The sequence below is a fragment of the Homo sapiens genome, chromosome 2, assembly GCF_000001405.40.
Source record: "Homo sapiens chromosome 2, GRCh38.p14 Primary Assembly".
Classification (NCBI taxonomy): Eukaryota; Metazoa; Chordata; class Mammalia; order Primates; family Hominidae; genus Homo; species Homo sapiens.
Genome location: NC_000002.12, coordinates 110440553 through 110464380, shown reverse-complemented (window position 1 = coordinate 110464380; position 23828 = coordinate 110440553). Strand labels below are relative to the sequence as shown.

Below are 23828 nucleotides of genomic sequence, written 5' to 3'. Positions count from 1 at the left end.
GTATTTTAATTTTTCCCATAAGAAAATACTTTTGGGAGTGGTGGAGCCAACAGTTACAAGAGTGATTTAAGTCCAGGAAGTACTGCAGAGTGGGATGGACTGAACCAAGGACTAGGGACCAGGTGTGCAGCTGATTAACCCTGACTTAGTACATGCTCAGGGCTGGGTTCTTTGTTGGTGCTTCACATTTCTCTCTCCTTAGTTTGGATTTCACAAATGTGTCCCTTTTTTCCCATCACAAAATGCATTAACAGGAAAGACCCATTTTTTTAATTTTTTATTTTTATTTTTATTTTTTTTGAGACAGAGTTTCACTCTTGTTGCCCAGGCTGGAGTGCAAATGCGTGATCTTGGCTCACTGCAACCTCTGCCTCACGGCCTCAAGTGCTTCTCCTGCCTCAGGCTCCCAAGTAGCTGGGATTACAGGCAGGCACCACCATGCCCAGCTAATTTTGTATTTTTAGTAGAGACGGGGTTTCTCCATGTTGGTCAGGCTGGTCTCAAACTCCCGACCTCAGGTGATCCGCTCACCTCGTCCTCCTAAAGTGCTGGGATTACAGGAGTGAGCCACTACGCCTGGCCAGGAAAGACCCGTTTATGATGAGTAGTCTTGTAGCAAGATGTTTTACAAAGAGGTTTCTTCACTCATTTACTCTGATTATTCAGGAAGGCAGAAACTGAAATGGAAGACCCTTCCAACCAGCACATCTGTTTATCTGTGGATCCACTCACTTCAAGGCAGTTTATGACAAACCAGTATAAAGTACCAAATGAAGATTTGCAACTTTGCACTTGACTGGAAATGAGACTTTCAGCTGGTTTCCCGTTCTGAGCTTACTTGAAAGCAGCTCAGAATAACTGTTTCTTCCCCTAAAGGGAATATTTACAGAACTCCAAAACTTAAAACAGTTAGAGCCATTCTTGGAGCTCATCTTCCCCCACACAAAGCAACCCATTTCCACAAGCGGTGGGACCCCAGGGTTCTTAAGGCATTTTGTTTATAAATACTACTAATTTGGACCATTAATATTTCTAACAGGCTTATCGTATTCATTGTTTAAATCAGTTTGGGGATGTAATGTGTAGTTACCTAGAAAGGCTATATTTATAGAAATTTAATTCTTCCCAATTTATGATTCTTGATTTTTAAAAAATTTTATATCGTAGTTTTACTTTGGATCAACTTCTGGCCTTTCTCTCAGGCTCAAAAGTTGAGCTATACTATGTTTGATCATTTCTACACACTGTAGAAAAGAGGCAGCTCATTATAGCAGAAGTTCTCCACCTGGAATTAACAATAGTTGTGACACTGGAGAAGCATAGCCCAGAGTGCAAGAGATTTGCAGGATGAATGGTGGCAAGGAAATCTATTTCTAAGTCCTCCTATTCTGGTTTTGAAGGACTCAATTTCTGGATCCTTTTCTCTTTGCCTGAAAACATATTTATATTCACAATAGTACTTCTCTCACATTGCAAAAGAAAGAAATCTCAAATCTTACTATCATTAATTGCTCCAGGATACCCATCAAAAAGGATTAGTTAGGGAGTGCTGAAACCCATAAGGCTTAGTCTTTCCCTGCCTTATGTATTTTCTCGTTAAGGAGAAGCTTGGCTTTAGGAACTGTGTTGGATATTCTGTATTCAGGTACAGATATGCACGCCCCTTAACCACAGGGAAATGTCTGAGAAAGGTGTCATTAGGCAAGATCATTGTTGTGCAAACATCAGAGAATGTATTTAACAAACCTAAATGTCATAGCCTACAACACATCTAGTCTATATGGTATGGCCTGTCCCTCCTAGGCTACAAACCTGTACAGCATGTTACTATACAGAATACTGCAGGCAGTTGTAACACAATGGTGAGTATTGTGTATCTAAAAGTATCCAAGCAGAAAAAGTACAGTAAATATACCATATACCATGGTAGTATATATGGTCCATTGTTGACAGAAATGTTATCTGGCAGATGACTGCATATGCTGAATTTAGAGACGTAGGCAGTAGTTACAACAGCTTTCCTTTTTAATTTATTTTTATTTTTTATTTATTTATTTTTTTTGAGACAGAGTTTCGCTCTGTCACCCAGGCTGGAGTGCAGTGGTGTGATCTTGGCTCACTGCAACCTCCGCCTCCTGGATTCAAGCGATTCTCCTGCCTCAGCCTCCTCAGTAGCTAGGAATCCAGGCGCATGCCACCACGTCTGGCTAATTTTTGTATTTTTAGTAGAGACAGGTTTCACCATGTTGGTCAGGCTGGTATCGAACTCCTGATCTCATTATCTGCCCACCTCGGCCTTCCAAAGTGCTGAGATTACAGGCATGAGCCACTGCACCCAGCCAACAGCTTTCCTTTTAGGACTTAGCCTTTTTCATCCCCTGACTAATTTCAGAAGAATTTATCCATTTTAAGGGAAAGCTCTGGGAGAGCAAAGCAAAGAGCGTTGGTAAGAAATTGTGAATGAGGTGGATAGAAAACACAAACCATTTTCCCTCTGCTTGCACACCACAACAATCAACACAAGTTCTTCTGTGACCAAACGTGTGGGAACTTTTCACCACACGCCAAGCAAGCAATCAGTTCTGCAGTGGACACCAGCTGGGCGTTCTCCAATTCAATTCCCACACTATCTACCTGGAGACCACAGATTGAGGGGCAGCGCCAGGACTGTCTTCTCCTTCTGATGCCAATTGAAAGCCCCAGATTGCTTCACCTGTCCTTCTGGCTGACATGCTCTGTAAATTGGGAATCCCACAGCCTCCTCTTCTGGTTCTATTAATTTGCTAGAGCAACTCACAGAGCTCAGGGAAACACTTTTACTGGTTTATTATTAGTATTATGTTTATTTGTTTGTTTTGAGACAAAGTCAAGCTCTGTCACCTAAACTGGAGTGCAGTGGAACAATCACAGTTCACTGCAGTCTCCATCTCGTGGACTCAGGCAGTCTTCCTGCCTCAGCCTCCCCAGTAGCTGGGACTATAGGCACATGCTACCATGCCTGGCTCTACCAGTTTATTCTAAACAATATTACCAGCCAGGCACGGTAGAGCACACCTGTAATCCTAGCACTTTGAGAGACTCAGGTGGGAGGATTGCTTGAAGCCAGGAGTTCAAGAGCAGCCTGGACAACATAGTGAGATCCTGTCTCTACAAAAAATAACAAAATTAGCCAGGCATGATGGCACACACAGTCCCAGCTACTTGGGAGGCTGAGGTGGGAAGATCATTTGAGCCTAGGAGTTGGAGGCTACAGTGAGCTATAATCATGCCACTGCACTCCAGCCTGAAAAAACAGGGCAAGACCGTTTCTGAAAAAAAAAAATAATAATAATAATAATAAAATAAATTTTTAAAAAGGATATTACAAAGGATACAGCTGAAGAGATACGTAGGGTGAGGTATACAGGGGAAGGTGTTCAGAGCTTCCACACCTTCTCTGGCTGCACCACCCTCTGGGAAACTACACTGTGTTCAGCTATCCAGAAGCTGTCTGCACCCTGTCCTTTTAAATTTTTACGGAGGCTTCATTATGTAGGCATGATGAATTAAACACTTGGCCACTGGTGATCAACTTAACCTTCAGCTCCTCTCTGCCTTTCCTGAAGGCTGGAGGGTGGGGCTGAAAACCCCAACCATCCGATTCTGCCTTGGTCTTTCTGGTAACCAGTCCCATCCTAAATCTACCTAGGGGCTGCCAGTCAGGAGGCACCTCATTAACATATACAGAGACATCACTTTTAAGATTCCAAGGATTTTAGGAGCTGTATGCCAAGAAACTGGGAGGAAGACCAAATATGTATTTCACAATGTCACAGTGAGGGTATGCCATGAGCTAGAACAAACAGACCAAAGCAGTATTGCTTTTTGACTCTTGGGAGGCCCTAGAGGTTAAGCAACTTGCCCAAGACCACACAATGAGTCTTTCAGCCAGATTTTGAACACAGGCAGTCTGGATCCATGGTCAGTGTTCTTGACTCCTACTTGTCTTGTTAAAAGATGTTTCCAAATTATAGTTAATCCTAATTTTATTTTATGTATACAGTGATTATATTTTCAACCTTCTAAAAAAAATTATATATATATATATACTACTGGGCTACTTTTTAGTGTTTTTATGCAATATACATCTTTCTCTTTCATTTAATACAGAATAAAAGTTGATCATTTCTATCTAAATTAATGGAGTTATTTATGAGTTTTTACACAGTCGTCTTATGGTATCCACAGAGGATTGGTTCCAGGACACCCCCTCCACCCCACTCCCACCTCACCCTCAGAGCTTACCAAAATCTTTGAATGCTCAAGTCCCTGATATAAAATGGTATACTTACTTGCATATAACCTATGCACATCCTCCTGTATATTTTTCATTATCTCTAGATTACTTACAATAGCTAATAAAATGTAAATGCTATGTACATAGTTGTTATACTGTGTTTTTAAATTTGTATTATTTTTATTTTTCTATTGGTTTTTTTTATTGTTTGGGGTTTTTTCTTCCACATTTTTTTTTATCCTTGGTTGATCAAATTCAAGGATGCAGACCCAGCAGATACAGAAGGCTGTTTTGTGGTCATTTTGTTTTTTTGTTTCTAATTGACATAATAATTACACACATGGGGCACAGTGTGATGTTTCAATACATGTATACATTGTGTAAAAATCAAATCAGGGTATTTAACGTATCCATCACCTTGTACATTTATAATTTCTTTGTCGTAAGAATATTCAAAATACCCCTTTTCTAGCTATTTTGAAATAGCTATTTTGAAATATTTTGAAATGCAATATATTATTAACCAAAGTCACTCTACTGTGCAATAGAACACTAGAACTTATTCGTCCTAACTGTAACTTGGTACCCATTGACCATCTTCTCCCCATCCCCTCCACTCCATTCTCCCCAGCCTCCAGCAACCTCTATTTTACTCTATTTCTATGAAATCAACCTCTTTAGATGCCACATATGAGTGAGATCATGTAGTATTTGTCCTTCTGTGCTTATTTCACTTAATGTAATGTCCTACAGGTTCATCCATGTCGCCACAGATGACAGGATCTCATTCTTTTTTACGGCCAAAGAGTACTCTGCTGGGTATATGTACCGTATTTTTTTAATCCATTCATCCGCTGATGGACAGTTAGATTGCTTCCAAATCTTGGCTATTGTGAATAGTGCTGCAGTAAACATGAGAGTGCAGATATCTCTTCCACATACTGATTCCATTTCCTTTGGATATATTCCCAGTAGTGAGATTGCTGGATCATATGGTAGTTCCATTAATTACTGCTAAAAGCTAAATATCAGATTTTTATACGTATAGGTGGCATACATTCATCAGAAATATATCACGCTTCATAAATACTTGTACTTTTGGCTGCACATTATAATGTAGTATGGCATAGTATTGAGTAATAGCATATCAATTTATTCTTTCTGTTTAAAAACCAAATACATTAATCTGGACAAGGTAGTGTGTGCCTGTAATCCCAGCTACTCAAGAGGCTGATGTAGAAGGACCACTTGAGCCCAAGTGTTCAAGACGAGCCTGAACAACATAGCAAGACCTAGTCTAAAAACAAAAAGATACATTAAATATACTACATCTTATTCATTTGAATTAAAAAGTGAAAGCTGGACATAGTAGCTCACACCTGTAATCCCAGCACTTTGGGAGGCCAAAGGTGGGAGGATCACTTGAGGTCAGGAGTTCGAGACCAGCCTGGCCAACATGGTGAAACCCCATCTCTACTGAAAATACAAAAATTAGCTGGACATGGTGGCGGGTGCTTGTAATCCCAGCTACTCAGGAGGCTGAGGCAGGAGAATTGCTTGAACCCAAGAGGCAGAGGTTACAGTGAGCCAAGATTGTACCACTGCACTCCAGACTGGGCAACAGAGCGGGACTGGGAAAAAAAAAAGTTATCTTTCTAGGAGAAAATCTGCTTTGGTTGGTTCAACAGTAAGAACTGACTTTGCCAGTTAAGCTGTGGTAGATATGTTCACTAAATTGGATGCACTAAATCTATAGCCATAATTTGAGGAAATTGAGTTGACAACTGATACATTAAAAATGGATATCATTAAAAATGGATTTTAATAATCAAACAGTGTATGACTTTTGGCATATAACTTGTAAGGAGCTCAAAGACTCAAGGGGAGACATTACTATAACATTTCTCACAAGTTAGTAATGTGAAAAGGGCTTCTTAGCATTTCTATATTAAAAAAAAAAGCAACACCCAAAATAGAAAATAGACCTAGAATTAATATTGAACCTGAGTCTTCTAGTGGAAAGCCATATTGATGCATGAGATACATGAAATAATTGTGGGAGGAAAGGGCAGCCCTACTCATTTCACTATCACTAAGATATGCTTTTCAAGTAAACAGATAGTATAAAAAAATTAATGTTTATGTCTTGCTTGTCCTATACTAATCATTCTAATGATAATACAGAAGAAAATAAATGTTAACCTTTACAGCCTTATGGATTCAGAAAGCACATTTTAAAATTTCATGTTATATATATTTTTTAATTGCAGAAAAGTATGATAGGGTGATCAGTTAAAGACAAGTACAAAAATATACTAGGATAAAATTGGAGCACATAAAATGAAAACATTCAAGAAATGAAAGATGTAAAAATCTTGGCTGTTAAGAGAATGTTTTTTAATGGATTTTGGTCATTTTAAAATGTGCTAAGGCTGAGCGTACTGGCTAACGCCTGTGGTCCCAGTGCTTTGAGAGACTGAGGTGGGAGGATTGCTTTGGGCCAGGAGTCCAAGAACTAGCCTAGGCAACATAGCAAGACTCCCATTTAAAAAAATAATAAAATACAATGTGCTAGAATATTTGCCCTTTGTAAATATTTGAGGTTACAGTGAGAATTACAGATATCGACCTGAAAAATGTGGGAGGAGAGTTGTATGTATGTGCATATTTTCTGGAGGGAGAGGTTATCCATAGCTTTCATCAGATTCATTAAAGGCAGGGTATTTGAGCCAGAAAACAATTCAGCACAGTCAGAGGCCAGGTCACCAGTCCCTGTAGGTGTACTGTTCACTCTAGCCTCTACTTATTCCGTATGTCTTTCCTGTACCAACATGTAGATGTATGGGTGGTGCAAAAGAGTATCTGCTTTTTAAAATCCCAGTAGAGTTATAAATTCTTAGAGTAGAACTCTTAGTTTAGAAACATCTTTCCTGTATATCTTCATCAAATAATTATATTTCTCCTGTGATTGTTTCGTGTCTGTAAGTTGGTGGTACCCTCTCTTTCAGTTTGAAGGAAGAAAGTACTGTGAACATGACTTTCAGATGCTCTTTGCCCCTTGCTGTCATCAGTGTGGTAAGTTTTACTGCTAAATGTCAAGTAAAAAGTAAGTTTCCGGCCAGGCGCGGTGGCTCACACCTGTAATCCTAGCACTTTGGGAGGCGGAGGGAGGAGGATCACCTGAGGTCAGGAATTCGAGACCAGCCTGGCCAACGTAGGGAAACCCGGTCTCTACTAAAAATACAAAAATTAACTGGGCATGGTGGCAGGTGCCAGTAATCCCAGTTATTCAAGAGGCTGAGGCAGGAGAATCGCTTGAACCCAGGGGGCAGAGGTTGCAGTGAGCTGAGATTGCACCACTTCACTCCAGCCTGGGCAACAGCCAAACTCCATCTTGCGGGGAAAAAAAGTAAGTTTCCACATTACTTCAGTCATTTCACACTGGTGAAGTATCGATGGTAAAAATGGTTTTTAGTGCTCATTATGAATAACTGTTGGATACTTCATCACTCCTCTTCCCTATTGTTAACATAGAACAAGCTGGAGGAGTATCAAAACCTAGAGATCATTGATTTTTAAGGACATTTAAGGTAGAGGTATTTTGGGATGAACTAGGACTCCTATCGGGTGGTGTTTGGGAGTGTTCTTTTCCTGTGTTAACACAACCTTTACCTACTTGCTTTTGGTTTTGCCCGGAAAGAGGCAGGGAAGAAATCAGTGAGGTGCTTCAGAAGCTTAGGGATGCTTAAACATTGCTTGCACGGCGCATAAGTGATGGACTTGCTTGCACGTTGGCCACTTCACTGGTTGCTAATACCTCTGCCAGGTTTCCAGAGATTGAAGAAACTGGGTAGAATGTTCTAAAGGTTTAATGAAAGAATAAATTAAGTATGGGTTATAAGAAACTGTGCTGTAGATTTCAGTTGTCTATGTTGACAATGACCAGAAATAACCAAAAGGCATTCAAGAGAGCCTAGTAGCTCATTTGGAAAGGAAAGCTAGATTCAGAGATGACACAAAACAGCCCAAAAATGTGGCTGCTGAATCAAAAACAAAAATTCGGATGAAATAAAAACTTTTTTGCTAATGTGCTTACTCTGGTAGACACATAAATAAAAAGTTCTTCTACTGGCCACGTGTGGTGGCTCACGCCTATAATCCTAGCACTTTGGGAGGCCAAGACGGGCGGATCACCTGAGGTCGGGAATTTGACCAACATGGAGAAACCCCATCTCTACTGAAAATACAAAATTAGCCGGGCGTGGTGGCAGGTGCCTGTAATCCCAGCTACTTGGGAGGCTGAGGCAGGAGAATCGCTTGAACCCGGGAGGCAGAGGTTGCAGTGAGTCGAGATGGTGCCATTGCACTCCAGCCTGGACAACAAGAGCGAAACTGTCTCCAAAAAAAAAAAAAGTTCCTCTATTGAGAAAGGCTTCAACGGTTTTTTTCCTCACTGTTTTTCCTTAATTGCTCTCTCAGTAAATAAAGTGCCATGCCTGTTACTTAGGATGTTACTTAGTAACATCCTTTGTGTGTTGCTTTCCCACAGGTGAATTCATCATTGGCCGAGTTATCAAAGCCATGAATAACAGCTGGCATCCGGAGTGCTTCCGCTGTGACCTCTGCCAGGAAGTTCTGGCAGATATCGGGTTTGTCAAGAATGCTGGGAGGTAGGTGGATTTTCATCCTTGTCAGATGTGGGTGGACAATGTGACTGTGACAAGATCATGTGTATTCTCCATGTGGGATGTAAGGCAGTTCTGTAGGACACTGAATTGAGGGCATGGGAACTCAGACACTGCAGTGTGTTGACTGAGTGCTGCTGCTGGGAGTGGACCCTTGTGTTGCTGTTCACAGGGCATAACTGCTCCATGCATGGCTGAACTACCAATGGGGGATGTACCTAGATGGAGTTTCTTAAAAATCAGTCATATTAGGGTTGGAACACATTTTTCATGTGGCTTGATTCTGCCCCGTGAAGCACAGGAGTGATTTTTTTAAGAAATGGTTTGTTTAATTTCTTTTCAGAGATAAGGGAAGCATATTTCTTTTTAACCATTAGAAAGAACCTAAAATTTTAAATTTAAGTTTTGACTCTGTTTAGACACCTGTGTCGCCCCTGTCATAATCGTGAGAAAGCCAGAGGCCTTGGGAAATACATCTGCCAGAAATGCCATGCTATCATCGATGAGCAGCCTCTGATATTCAAGAACGACCCCTACCATCCAGACCATTTCAACTGCGCCAACTGCGGGTACTGGAATTGTTTCTTTTTTATTACACAAGCAGTGGGAATGAAAGATTACATTTATCTATATTTCTGTTACTCTAGCAAACCAAATTGTTTTTCTCCCATTTTTAGTCTAGAAAATTTTAAACCTATAGAAGAGTCAGGAGAATGATATAATGAAACCTGTATACCCTTAATTTCATTTCACCAGTTGACATTTTGCCATGCTTGTGTGTATACAGTCCACATTCTCGTTTCACCCTCCTATGTATGTGTGCACATGTGCCTGTATACGCATACCTCTAAAATTTCTCATGACTCCCAGTATGCATCTCCTGAGAATAAGGGCATTTTCCTATGGAACCATGATACATTTTGTAAATTTTTTTTTTCCTTGAGACAGGGTCTCGCTCTATTGCCCAGGCTGAAGTGCAGTGGGCAATCATAGCTCACTGCAGCCTCACCCTCCTGGGCTCAAGCAGTCCCCCCACTTCAGCCTCCAGAGTAGCTGAGACCACAGGCACACACCACCCTTCCTAATTTTTTTAAATTTTTTGTAGAGATGGAGCCTTGCTGCGTTGCCCAGGCTGGTCTCAAACTCCTGGGCTCAAGCAATCTACTCATCTCGGCCTCCCAAAGTGCTGGGACTATAGGCATGAGCCACTGCACCTGGCCAGAACCACAATACTCTTATTATGCCTAAGAAAATTAGCAATAATCTTATAATATCAACTATCAGTCCATATTAAAAATATTCCCAGTAGCCCCAGAAATATTTGTCATCACTATGTTTTTCCAGTCGAAGATCTAAAAACAAAAAAAGGTCTTATCTCTGTACATGCATAACTTTTACAGTTGTAATAATTAGATATTATCTTAAAAGATGTTGTTATATTTATTTAATTTGGCTTGGTTTATATCTAAAAGAAATATATTTAATTTTTTGTCTTCAATAAGTTATGATAAATTGTTAGGCTATGAATTTTTCTCAGTTTGCCACCTAGTATAAAAATTTAGTGCATAAAGATTCTTGGCCGGGCGCAGTGGCTCATGCCTGTAATCCCAGCACTTTGGGAGGCTGAGGCGGGCAAATCACGAGGACAGGAGATCGAGACCATCCTGGCTAACACGGTGAAACCCCGTCTCTACTAAAAAATACAAAAAAAATTAGCCGGGCACGGTGGCGGGCGCCTGTAGTCCCAGCTACTTGGGAGGCTGAGGCAGGAGAATGGCAGGAACCCGGGAGGTGGAGCTTGCAGTGAGCCGAGATCGCGTCACTGCACTCCAGCCTGGGAGACAGAGCGAGACTCCGTCTCAAAAAAAAATTAAAAAAATATTCTTTACTATAGTTAATGTGAACTTACTTGGTAAATTATAGTAGGGATGGAGAAGAAACAGTAGGCCAAATGCTAAGAAAACAGTTTGGGCCAGGTGCAGTGGCACACGCCTGTAATCCCAGCACTTTGGGAGGCCGAGGCGGGTGGATCATGAGGTCAGGAGATCGAGACCATCCTGGCTAACATGGTGAAACCCCATCTCTACTAAAAATAAAAAAATTAGCCAGGCGTGGTGGTGGGTGGCTGTAGTCCCAGCTACTCGGGAGGCTGAGGCAGGAGAATGGCGTGAACCTGGGAGGTGGAGCTTGCAGTGAGTGTGGATCGCGCCACTGCACTCCAGCCTGGGCAGCAAAGCAAGACTCGTCTCAAAAAAAAAAAAAAAAAAAGAAAGAAAGAAAACAGTTTGGTTGTATAAGTTCAGCCATCTCATCTTTTGTGATTGAATTATCAGTTTGTGCCTTATCTCGTTTTCTTGCCTGTCCTTCCTCTTGGGGATTCACCTCTGTCCACTTTTCATTAGCATCTCTCCTAGAGAATTACATAAAAGGGATGAAATTCAAACAAGTCCATTTGACTAATTGGGACCATCTCTGACCAAATGTTTATTGATGCAGGAGACTGAAAATAATATTTAATTTGAGTATTTGGAGAAGGAAAATTCTGGGCATTTTGTTGTTTATGAAAATAAACCTATTAACCTATAACTCTTTTCAACAGCTTGTGACAATTTAAATAATTGTTAGTAAATGGAACTAGTCTCCCAACTTCTCAGTTTGCTTGGAAAGGTCGTGTGTTAGTCTATTTTATGCGCCTGTAACAGAATACCACAAACTGGGTAATTTGTAACCAACAGAAGTTTATTTGGCTCATGGTTCTGGAGGCTGGGAAGTCCAAGATCAAGGGGCTGGCATCTGGTGAGGACCTTCTTCTGCATCATTACATAGCAGAGGGCATCACATGGTGGGGGAAGAGGAGGGGGGAAGGAAGAGAAGGAAGGAGGCTGAACTCATCCTTTTATAAGGAACCCACCCCCTCAGTAACAGTGTTAATCCATCTGTGAGGGCAGAGCCTTCATGATGTAATCACCCCTTAGAGGTCCTACCTCTCAACACCTCTGCATTGGGGATCATGAACTTTGGGGACACAGTCACACCATAGCAGGTAGTATTACTGAGTCTACCCTCAGCACTGTGATTATTCCCTGTAGCTTTTAAAGGAAGACAAATGGACTAAAATGGAATGTGATAATACAAGAAGGAAATTATGAATATGACTGGTGTGGTGGTATGTATCTGACCTAGTCTTGCATCTTATCCTTTTAAGATACAGATGTTTTGGTAGGAGTCTGAAACCTGTTCGGGCCTATTAATTCAGGTTATTCTGATCACCTCTAAAGGGGAAAAAAGAAATTTGCAGGGATTGTCATAGTAATATCTTTAAAAACCTTCTAAAAAGTGTGCTAGCCCCATCGGTTGGCCATTTTTCTCTCTTAGTATTAAGCTGGGTGTCTTTCTCACAGACAGGAAGGATCTGACTGCCGATGCACAGGAGCTGAAAGGGGAGCTATACTGCCTGCCATGCCATGATAAAATGGGGGTCCCCATCTGTGGCGCTTGCCGACGGCCCATCGAAGGGCGTGTGGTGAACGCCATGGGCAAGCAGTGGCATGTGGAGGTGAGTTCTAAATGGTAAAGGGTAACCAATCCTTTCAAATCTCCATGATTAAGGAGTAACCAATACTTTCAAATCTCCATGATTAAGGGGTAACCAATCCTTTCAAATCTCCATGATTCAGGGATAACCAGTACTTTCAAATCTTCATGATTCAGGTGTCCTGGCAAGATTAGGAGACTCTAAAGATTAAACGTGGACATTTTAAAGACAATTGACTTTGCTGACAGCTAAGAATATAGAAGGTACACTGCTTTTGTGAATGTCTCAGTAATGATACAAGATGTGCACTTTTGCTCCTAAAGCCTTCTTGAAGCAGGAAGTGCCATGGTCTGTATCCAGCAGCAGCTCCTCCTTTATAGGTGCTACTGAGATGCTCACCTCTATTCTCTTTTTGGGCTATTATAATAGGCTGTGTCTTAAAGTAACCTTCAAAGACAGACACCTGAATTACAACTGCAGAAGTATTATGTTATGGGGCCACCTATGGCCAAATGAAATGACTGTCTCAAACTTTCCTTCATCTTCTCTGAAAATAGGTTAACTCTGGTGTTTACTTTATTAGATATAAAATATGGCAATTCAAAAATGACCTATAGCAATTTTTTTTCAGCATTTTGTTTGTGCCAAGTGTGAGAAACCCTTTCTTGGACATCGCCATTATGAGAGGAAAGGCCTGGCGTATTGTGAAACTCACTATAACCAGGTATTGACCTTAGTCACTGGATGCTAGATAGACTTTTATGAACCTAAGCTTATCAGTAGTTTAGCTACAAGGAAATCTCTTGGAAGATGTACATTGTTCAGTAGAGATTTGTTTTTAACTTTTTATTTGGGAAATAATTTCAGACTCAGAAGCTAACTATAAAAATACAAAGAATACCTGTATGTCTTTCATTCAAGTCCACAGTTTGCTTTATCATTTCCCACGCTCAGTCTTCCTGTGTAAAACACATACTTACATAAATATTATATACAAGTACGATGGCTGTTTCTAAAGCATTTGCCAATAAGTTCATCATACTCCTTTACCCCTAAATACTTCAGTGTATATTTCCCAAGAATATGGGACTCTCTAACATAATTGTAGTTATCAATATTGATACCGTACTTTAACCCATTTATTCCAGTTTTATCACTTGAGTCAGTAATATCCTCACAGCATTTTTTCCACTCCCAGACTGGACCCAGCCTAGGGCTGTGATGTTTCTTTAGCTTTCTTAAATCTGGAACGTTTCCAGAGTCTTTTAAAATTTTTGATGACATTGACATTTTGGAGGGATGCAGAGGGCCCCTAACCCCTTTTTAATAGACTACTTTCCACTTGGGTTCACCTGGTGCTTCTCTGTGCTTAGATGAGGTTATACACAGCAGGTTGTGGCCTCATACAGTGGCAGGGCATCTTCTCAGAACCTTGCCCCTGGAGCATTTTATACCTCTCCTGCACTGGTGATCTCCCAGGCATGGTGCTGGCTGATAACATCACTGTGAATTACAATTTCCTTCCCTCCTCTGTAAGAAAGAAGCAATCTGTGGGCAATCATTCTATGACCATGGAAATGTCCTGTTCCTCATCAACCCGCCCTAGATTCAGCACCCCTTGATGATTCTTGTCTCTGCGCCAGCTGCAAACAATACTTCTCCAGCCCCATGCCCTCCACCCATAGTCTGGTCCTCAGCGCTCTGCCTGAGCAAGAACCCACCTCCTCTCCCGTCTATAGGTTTATTCATTTATCTATTTCTTATCCATATGGACTCACAGATTTCTATATTTTGCATCACTTATTTGGGTGTTCAAACTGTCATCCGGGAAGTTTTTCTTTTAATTGATGAGAGTGAATTACTTTCATTGTAAGAAGTAAAAACTTGTCAAAGAACTTTTACTAATTTTCTCTAGTAGTGATAAATCCTCAATTTAGATAGCCAGCTATTTTTAAATGTTCAGTGTTCTAAAAATTCTAACACATCTTGAACTTTGACCACCTTTTTTTATTTTCAGCTATTTGGTGATGTTTGCTTCCACTGCAATCGTGTTATAGAAGGTGATGGTAAGTATCTGTGTGAGTTTTAGATTGGTGCCACTTTGACACAAAAACACTTGGGGAATGTGGAAATTCAGGTTGGTGATTGCTATGGTTTGAAATGTGATCGTTATCAGTTACTTTTTCTCTATCTTTGGCGTATTTTCCAAGTAATCTGTAGCAGTAAGATGATAATATCAAAGAGTTGGATTTGTTACTGATTTATGACACTACTTTTGGCCACTGCTGTAGTGTTGTATGCCAGCAATCATGGGAACTGTCCCTGGTGGACCCTAAGACCTGTTTCTGTGTCCAGTTTCAGGAAGCTCTAGAACAACGTTTATTAGGAAGAGTTTAATCTGCTATCGTAGTTAGCAAGAGGCACTTTAACCTGCACATGCTAAAAGCTGGCAGTTATCAGCAAGCATATCTAGGACTTACCACCCTTGTACTGTGGTAATTAGGCTGGGCTGATTGATTGGAACAGAAAGGAAGCAGCTGTGTTTGCTAAGACTCGCTAACACACTTCTGCCAGAGACTTCCTGGCAAAGTTTTGAACGATACTGTTTTCAGCATGATTCATGGCTGCCTGCAGACATCACCTAATTCAGGAAATACTTTTGAAACTGTTCATGTGCAGTTTGTGAAAACAATCCAGGAAAACAATCTTTAGTGCCATTGAAAATAAAACTTACCTCCCTCCTCTGTGAAATAGATGCCAGGTGAAAGAAGCTGCAGAGGAAACTGTCTTGTTATCATCAGCTCTGGAAAAAAGACTCCTACAGAGGCAAATAAGTTAATGTCTGGATTTTTGAAAATTATTTACCTAGTTCATATTTCCTAGTTGGGCCAACAGCAGTAGGGACAGAAACAGCAAGCTCACCTAAACAACATGATGCATGGACAGTTGCCACATGTGCCCAGGCCAAGGGGGCACAGTTGCTGGTGTAAGACATGGCACACATCATTTATAACTTCACAGGATACTTAAGGATGGGGGAAGATTAAAGTCAGCCCTCCGTATCCAGGGGCTGGATCCAAACATCCGTGGATTCAACCAACTATGGATCAAAAATATTTAGAGAAAAATAACAATATAACAATACAAATAGTACAGTATAATGACTATTTACATATCATTTACATTGTACTAGGCATTATAATTAACCTAGAGATGATCTAAAGTATACGAGACGGGACCAGGCGCAGTGGCTCACACCTGTAATCCCAACACTTTGGGAGGCCGAGGCAGGCAGATCAACTGAGGTCAAGAGTTCAAGACCAGTCTGGCCAACATGGTGAAACCCCATCTCTACTAAAAATACAAAAAATTAGCTGGGTGTGGTGGTGCATGCCTATAATCCCAGCTACTCGGGAGGCTGAGGCAGGAGAATCACTTGAACCCGGGAGGCAGAGGTTGCTGTGAGCCAACATCACACCATTGCACTCCAGCCTGGGCGACAAGAGCAAAACTTCGTCTCAAAAATAAATAAATAAATGTATACAAGACAATGTACATAGGTTATATGCATTTTATATCAGGAACTTGAGCGTCTGAGATTTTGGTATCCTCACAGCATCCTAGAAATAGTATCCTGCACATATTGAGCAACAACTGTATACATAAAGGTTGAGGGCCGGGTGTGGTGGCTTACACCTGTAATCCCAGCACTTAAGGAGGCCGAGACAGGAGAATTTCTTGAGGCCAGGAGTTGGATACCAGCCTGGGCAACGTAGCAAGACCTCCATCTCTACAAAATAAAAATTAAAAATTAGCCAGATGTGGTAGCACACACCTATGGTCCCAGCTACACAGGAGAATGAGATGAGAAGATTGCTTGAGCCCAGGAGTTCGAGCTGTGATCGCACCACTGCAATACAGCCTGGACAACAGAGCGAGACCCTGTCTGAAAAACAAAAGAAAAGAAGCTCTCAAGAAAGAGGTTCTTGGCTGGGCATGGTGGCTCATGCCTATAATCTCAGCATTTTGGGAGACCGAGGCAGGCAGATTGCTTGAGCCCAGGAGTTCAAGTCCGGCCTGGGAAACATGGCAAGACCGTGTCTCTATAAAAAATACAAAAATTAGCCAGGTATAGGCTGGGCGCAGTGGCTCACACTTGTAATCCCAGCACTTTGGGAGGCCAAGACGGGCGGATCACAAGGTCAAGAGATCAAGACCATCTTGGCCAACATGGTGAAATCTCGTCTCTACTAAATACAAAAATTAGCTGGGCATGGTGGCACGCGCCTGTAGTCCCAGCTACTTGGGAAAATGAGGCAGGAGAATCGCTTGAACCCAGGAGGCGGAGGTTGCAGTGAGCTGTGATTGCGCCACTGCACTCCAGCCTGGCAACAGAGCGAGACTCTGTCTCAAAAAAAAAAAAAAAAAAAATTAGCCAGGTATAGTGGCATGCACTGTAGTCCCAGCTACTCAGGAGGCTGAGGTGGGAGGATCACTTGAGCCTGGGAGGTTGGGGCTACAGTGAGCCAAGATTGTGCCACTGTACTCCAGCCTGGGCTATAGAGCAAGACCCTGTCTCATTTTTTAAAAAAAACGTTCTTGAGAACCTCCACCAAGTGCCACAGACACAGTCGTAGTTCTGTTTTAGAGTTGAAATTCTAAGCTGCCCTGCTCCCCATACTGATGTATTTCCATGTGACCAGATCTCTTTCCTCTTTCTCCAGTGGTCTCTGCTCTTAATAAGGCCTGGTGCGTGAACTGCTTTGCCTGTTCTACCTGCAACACTAAATTAACACTCAAGTAAGTGTACGGTTTTGTCCAGTGTGAATCCTAAGACTGAAAACTTTGGGGGGACACTGAAAAAAAATCCTAGAATTTAGAAAAAGAGAATTATTTGATTTCTTATTTCCTCTTTCTGTTCAGGCCTTCTGAAAGTAAAGGTTCTTCCTTTAACTGTTCCCTGTTCTTTCTTCTATTCCTTCTTTGTCCTACTCAAAGGGATAAGTTTGTTGAAATTGACCTAAAGCCAGTCTGCAAACACTGTTATGAGAAAATGCCAGAAGAATTTAAGAGGCGACTTGCCAAACGGGAGAGAGAAGCAAAGGATAAGGACAAGCAGAAAAAGAAAAAGCCAGTCTGTTTGTAAACTTTTCTATCCCTGTGTCATCATTTTCACTACTTTCTCCTTTGGTTAGTCCTTTGGAATATGTTTTTGTTCTGTTTCTGTCTTTTGCTTTCTTCCCCCCCTGCAACTTTTGGGCGTGTATTTGTAGTCATCAGAAATTTGGGCCAAGGGGAGCGGATCACGAGGTCAGGAGATCGAGACTATCCTGGCTAACACGGTGAAACCCCATCTCTACTAAAAATACAAAAAAAACATTAGCCAGGCGTGGTGGCGGTCGCCTGTAGTCCCAGCTCCTCAGGAGGCTGAGGCAGGAGAATGGCTTGAACCCAGGAGGCGGAGCTTGCAGTGAGCCGAGACCGCGCCGCTGCACTCCAGCCTGGGTGACAGAGCAAGACTCTGTCTCAAAAAAAAAAAAAAAAAAGTGTAAGTGGATTAAAAGAGAAACTTGGTCTAGTTCATAATATTTTTAATAGGGCTTTCCCTGGCTGCTGGAAAACTTAGGCCAGTAAGCATCTCTTTGTTTAAAGTCCTACAAGACAATTTGAAATAATTCATTGTTCATGCCAAAATTCTAAGTACTGTTTTTCTTAGCAAGTGTAACATAATCAGGAACAATGGGTACGAGTAAAACATTCTTTGGATGATATTCAGAGCCTTATTAGCACTGCATCTGAATAATAGGTCATTTTGCCTCACTCATTTGCCAAAGTAGCCATTTCTAAGTTAAGGAAGTTTTTAGATAGGCTCATAGCCTTGTATTTCGTTTTAGATTGTAAGCTCAATGGTAGGGATACTATATTGGTAATTATGTTTTCATATAGCAACCACCACAGTATATTCTTGGTGCTTAATAAATGTTTATAATTGTTAACAATAACCTGTTGTATATTGTTTAATTTGAATGGTATATATATGAAATACGTATGAAAATTGAAGTATTCATGAATATATAATAGAAACAAGTAAATGAATAAAATGACCTGGTTACTATAGATAAGCCAAATTTTGAACCATCTAGAACAATGGTGTAGTCTTCCCTCTACTCAATGTAAATGCTGGGTTTTTTAATTATTATTATTCTTAAGAAAGGAGATACAGGCCAGGCACAGTGGCTCACACCTGTAATCCCAGCACGTTGGGAGGCCGAGGCCAGTGGATCACTTGAGGTCAGGAGTTTGAGACCAGCCTGGCCAACACAGTGAAACCTCATCTCTATTAAAAATACAAAAATTAGTAGGGCGTGGTGGTGTGCACCTGTAGTCCCAGCTACTTGGGAGGCTGAGGCAGTAGAATCACTTGAATCCAGGAGGCAGAGGTTGCAGTGAGCTGAGATTGCACCATTGCACTCCAGCCTGGGTGACAGAGTAAGAAAGACTCCATCTCAAAAAAAAAAAAAAAAAAAAAGAAAGGAGATATACAGCTTAATAAAAAATTCAGCAAGCCCTGAGTCACTGTGTGCAGTGTGCTGGGAAGACACCCACTACCAGGGCATTCCTCTTCCAGTGCTTGGTCTGCCCAGCTCTGCATCCACCTTAAATGTAGAGAATCCTGGGGGCTCTGTCTGAGTCTTGCATTCCATTTCCTTCCCTGTAGAGGTGAGACAGGTCATTACATCTCCCTGTGGGAAGTGTTGGATGGGGTGAGCACAGAGCATGCTAGACCATAGTGGCAGGAGCCCAGGGAGGGGAGGAGAGGGGAGGCTTCCTAGAGGAGCTGGATCTTGAGAGATGAACAGAAGTTGGCCAGGCGGGGAAGGAGGATAGGGAGTGGGCATCCCAGGCCATGGCAGAAGGACTGCTTGAGCCCAGGAGTTCCAAGACAAGCCTGGGCAACATAGCAAGACCCCAGTTCTACAAAAAATTAAAAACTAGGCAGGTGTGGTGATGAGACCCCGTCTCTACAAAAAATCAAAAAGTTAGGCATGGTGGCACATGCCTATGGCGACCAGCTACTCTGGAGACTGAGGATGGCTTGAGCCCAGGTCAAGGCTGCAGTGAGCTATGATCGCACCGCTGCACTCCAGCCTGGGGGACAGTGAGACCCTGTCTGAAAAAAAAAATTAAATTAAAAAAAATCTACTTGGGAAATACTTATAATAGTAAAAGCACGATCTAAAATACTATACATGATCATAAATATGTGCAAAATGGCCTTTTGAAAAGATGGAGGGAATACATCAAAATGTTACGGAAATGGTTTTTAAATTTTTTGTTTGGAGTTTTTTTTTTTTTTTTTGTAGAGAAAGGGGACTCTTCAGATGGTGCTTTCAGCTTGCCAAAATTCTATAATAATAGGAAATGGTAACTTTATTTTTTGAACTTGCTCTGTTAAATCAATTAAATGCATATGCTACAATATTGTTTTCATAATTTTTTGGCAAAATTTTCCCCATAGATGGAGCCATGCTGAGCTTTAGCTGCTTTTAAGCAGCTCCTGTCTTAATTATCACAAATTCTAACTTAGTAGAGTTAAAAGTAAAGCCTTCACTCTGATGAACCAGTCACGCTGCCTGGTAAAATTTTAGATCTCAGAAGCCATTTACCCTTGCAATAAAAATTAGTGACATTCTGGCCAGGCGTGATGGCTCACACCTGTAATCCCAGCACTTTGGGAGGCCAAGGCAGGCAGATCACCTGAGGTCGGGAGTTCGAGAGTAGCCTGACCAACATGGAGAAACCCTGTTTCTACTAAAAATACAAAATTAGCCGGGCATGGTGGCACATGCCTGTAATCCCAGCTACTTGGGAGGTTGAGTCAGGAGAATCGCTTCAACCCAGGAGGTGGAGATTGCAGAGAGCCGAGATCGCACCATTGCACTCCAGCCTGGGCAACAAGAGTGAAACTCTGTCTCAAAAAAAAAAAAAAAGAACAACTAGAGCAGTGGTCCCTAAGTGAAGCTTCCTCTGTATTTACATCCTCTCCTTATCACTTGCATCACCATCTGCCTCCTGTCAGATCATCGGTCACATCAGATTCTTATAGGGGCACAAACCCTATTGTGAACTGTGCATGTGAGGGATCTAGGTTGGGTGCTCCTTATGAGAATCTGATGCCTGATGATCTGTCACTGTCTCCCATCACCCTCAGATGAGACCATCTAGTTGCGGGAAAACAAGCTCAGGACCCCCACAGATTCTACCTTATAGTGAGTTGTGTAATTATCTCATTATATATTACAATGTAGTAATAGAAGTAAAGTACACAATAAATGTAATATGCTTGAATCATCCTGAAACCATCTCCAAAGTACACAATAAATGTAATATGCTTGAATCATCCTGAAACCATCTCCACCACCACCGTCTGTGGAAAAATTGCTTTCCATGAAACTGGTCCATGGTGCCAAAAAGGTCAAGGACCACAAAAAAGGTTGAGGACCACAAAAAAAAGAAGTGCATCAGAGGCCAGGCACGGTGGCTCACGCCTGTAATCCCAGCCCTTTGGAAGGCCTAGGCAGGCAGATGGCTTGAGTCCAGGAGTTCAAAACCAGCATGAGCAACACAACGAAACCCCATCTCTACTAAAAATACAAAAAATTAGCCAGGTGTGGTAGCATGCACCTGTAGTCCCAGCTACTCGGGAGGCTGAGGTGGAAGAATCCCCTGAGCTCAGGACGTCGAGGCTGCAGTGAGCCATGATCATACCACTGTACTCCAGCCTGGGCGACAAAGTGAGACCTTTCTAAAAAAAAAAAAGAAAAAGAAAAAAAAAAGCATCAGCATATAATGTGATAAGAATCAATGTTAGAAATATGAATGGGAGGCCAGGCATGGTAGCTCATGCCTGTAATCCCAGCACTTTGAGAGGCCGAGGCAGGCGGATCACCTGAGATCAGGAGTTCAAGACCAGCCTAACCAACGTGGCGAAATCCTGTCTCTACTAAAAATACAAAAATTAGCTGGGTGTGGTGGTGGGCACCTGTAGTCCCAACTACTCAGGAGGCTGAGGCAGGAGAATTGCTTGAAACCAGGAGGCAGAGGTTGCAGTGAACTGCAATTGCACCAGTGCACTCCAGCCTGGGTGACAGAGCGAGACTCCATCTCAACAACAACAACAACGACAACAACAAATATATATACACATATATATATATATATGTGTGTATATATATGTATATATATGAATGGGATACAGAGATTGCTCAGAGAGACTGGGTGATTGTAGGGCATCTGCAAAGATTTCCCAAAGGTGGTGAAGGCTGCACTGGGGTTTGAAAGACATGGAAGGAGCTTTCCAGAGGGAGAAAGGGGAAAGGGCGGAGGGCGGGGTGGGGGGTGAGTGGGCTTTTTAGGCAAAGAGACCCGCCTGTAAGAAGAGCCTGGTGTGATAAGAGAATGTTGAGAAATCCCATTTAGTTGAGGTTAAGCTCTGGTGAGAGATAGGAAGTTGGACACGGGTAGCTAACGTGGACCTATGCCTAGCACAGCACCTGACGTGGCAGAGGCAGTCAATAAATATCTGCTGATTAATTGTCAGACATTGGTTGGCTTTTGGGATACTGACAACACAGTGTCTTGTCAGCTAAGAATCAGATCCTGGATGGTGGGGGTTTCATCAAAGCCATTCTACCATACACAGTCCTGCCAAGCCTCTCCAGGCAAGAGCCCTTTATCTCACCATACTATTGCAACCACAAAAAAGGGAATAGTACAAGAAAAGATAGGCCATAATAGATGACTGATGCCAGAGGAATGGGATAGTAATGTGATAGGAACTCAAAGGATAGAAAAAGCGAACACTGTAGTAGAGTGGTCAAGGAAGTTTTCACAAAGGGGTAGGACTTGAGCTTGGCTTTGAACAATAAGGGAAAAAAGTGAAGGGAAAACCCACAGAAGGGGAGAAATTAGCTGCAAACTATCTATCTGATAAGGGATTAATAACCAAAAGATAGGGTGGGCGCAGTGGCTTACGCCTATATTCCCAGCACTTTGGGAGGCTGAGGTGGGCAGATCACGAGGTCAGGAGTTCAAGACCAGCCTGGCCAACATGGTGGAAACCTGTCTCTACTAAAATACAAAGCAAAACCAAAATGAAAACCACACAAATTTCATGTTTTTGTTTGGGATTATTGCCTGACTCTCATTCCACCTCTGAGAGATCCCTCCACCACTCCAGAAACACCAGCACAGCCAGGTGGTCATTGCACCTCTGAGAAACCCTCCTCCACTCCAGAGACACCAGCACAGTCAGGTGGTCGTCCCACCTCTGAGAGATCCTCCACCACTCCAGAAACACCAGCACAGCCAGGTGGTCATTGCACCTCTGAGAAACCCTCCACTCCAGAGACACCAGCACAGTCAGGTGGTCGTCCCACCTCTGAGACACCCCTCCCTCAGCCAGGTGGTGGTTCCTTCTCAGAATTTCAGCCCCACTTTCTATTTCTTCAATCATTAAGGTTCTGAGAACCCCAAACTCTTACCTTGGTTCCTCCAGCCTTGGGGTTGGCACAGTTTTAGATCTGTGGCATCTTTTTGTCAAATTCCCTGTATTCAAGGGAGTGGTAAGAGAGGGCATTCTTGCCTTGTGGTGGTTTGTAAAGGGAATGCTTCCAGCTTTTGCCCATTTAGTATAATCTTGGCTATGGGTTTGTCATAAATAGCTCTTATTATTTTATGTTCCATCAATACCTAGTTTATTGAGAGTTTTTAACATGAAGTGATGTTCAATTTTATCAAAGGCTTTTTCTACATCTATTGAGATAATCATGTGGTTTTTGTCATTGATTCTGTTTATGTGATGGATTACATTTATTGATTTACATATGTTGAACCAACCTTGCATCCAAGGGATGAAGCCAACTTGATCATAGTGAATAAACTTTTTAATGTGCTACTGGATTCAGTTTGCCAGTATTTTATTGAGGATTTTCACATCAATGTTCATCAGGGATATTGGCTTGAAGTTTTCTTTTTTTGTTGTGTCTCTGCCAGGTTTGGGTATCAGGATGATGCTGGCCTCACAAGATGAGTTAGGGAGGAGTCCCTCCTTTTCAATTGTTTGGAATAGTTACAGGATAAATGGTACCAGCTCCTCTTTGTACCTCTGGTAGAATTTGGCTGTGAATCCGTCTGGTCCTAGGCTTTTTTTGATTGGTAGGCTATTAATTACTGCCTTAATTTCAGAACTTGTTATTAGTGTATTCAGGGATTCGATTTCTTCCTGATTTAGTCTTGGGAGGGTGTTTGTTTCCAGGAATTTATTCATTTC

The 23828-nt window shown here is 41.9% G+C and overlaps 1 protein-coding gene and 1 long non-coding RNA gene across 11 annotated transcripts in view; one reads left to right on the top strand and one right to left on the bottom strand.

Moving 5' to 3' along the window:
* Window positions 1-23828, top strand: part of LIMS4 (LIM zinc finger domain containing 4) — a 113949-nt gene that overhangs the window by 8695 nt on the left and 81426 nt on the right. For 5 of the 7 annotated variants that reach the window (XR_007068194.1, XM_017003105.3, XM_017003103.3 and 2 more), the window contains exons 3-9: window positions 7285-7351; window positions 8826-8946; window positions 9381-9530; window positions 12367-12517; window positions 13128-13220; window positions 14514-14562; window positions 17221-17296. Coding sequence is in view for 5 of the 7 variants with exons in the window: in XM_017003105.3 (XP_016858594.1) it covers window positions 7285-7351; window positions 8826-8946; window positions 9381-9530; window positions 12367-12517; window positions 13128-13220; window positions 14514-14562; window positions 17221-17296 (707 nt within the window). In the remaining 2 variants the exon portion in view is untranslated. Of the gene's footprint in view, window positions 1-7284; window positions 7352-8825; window positions 8947-9380; window positions 9531-12362; window positions 12518-13127; window positions 13221-14513; window positions 14563-17220; window positions 18499-23828 lie in introns of those variants that run through there. The other 2 variants (NM_001371340.3, NR_038099.1) reach the window with 2 other exon arrangements.
* Window positions 11734-15580, bottom strand: LOC105373552 (uncharacterized). Of its 4 annotated transcripts, XR_923186.2 has the most exons (4): window positions 15231-15580; window positions 13849-14026; window positions 13398-13455; window positions 11734-11771 (listed from the first exon to the last, which is right to left on the bottom strand). It is a non-coding gene; the product is annotated as an uncharacterized LOC105373552 (long non-coding RNA). The 4 variants fall into 4 exon arrangements; XR_001739119.2 differs by having other exon boundaries at window positions 13398-14026; XR_923185.3 differs by lacking the exon at window positions 11734-11771 and having other exon boundaries at window positions 13139-13455.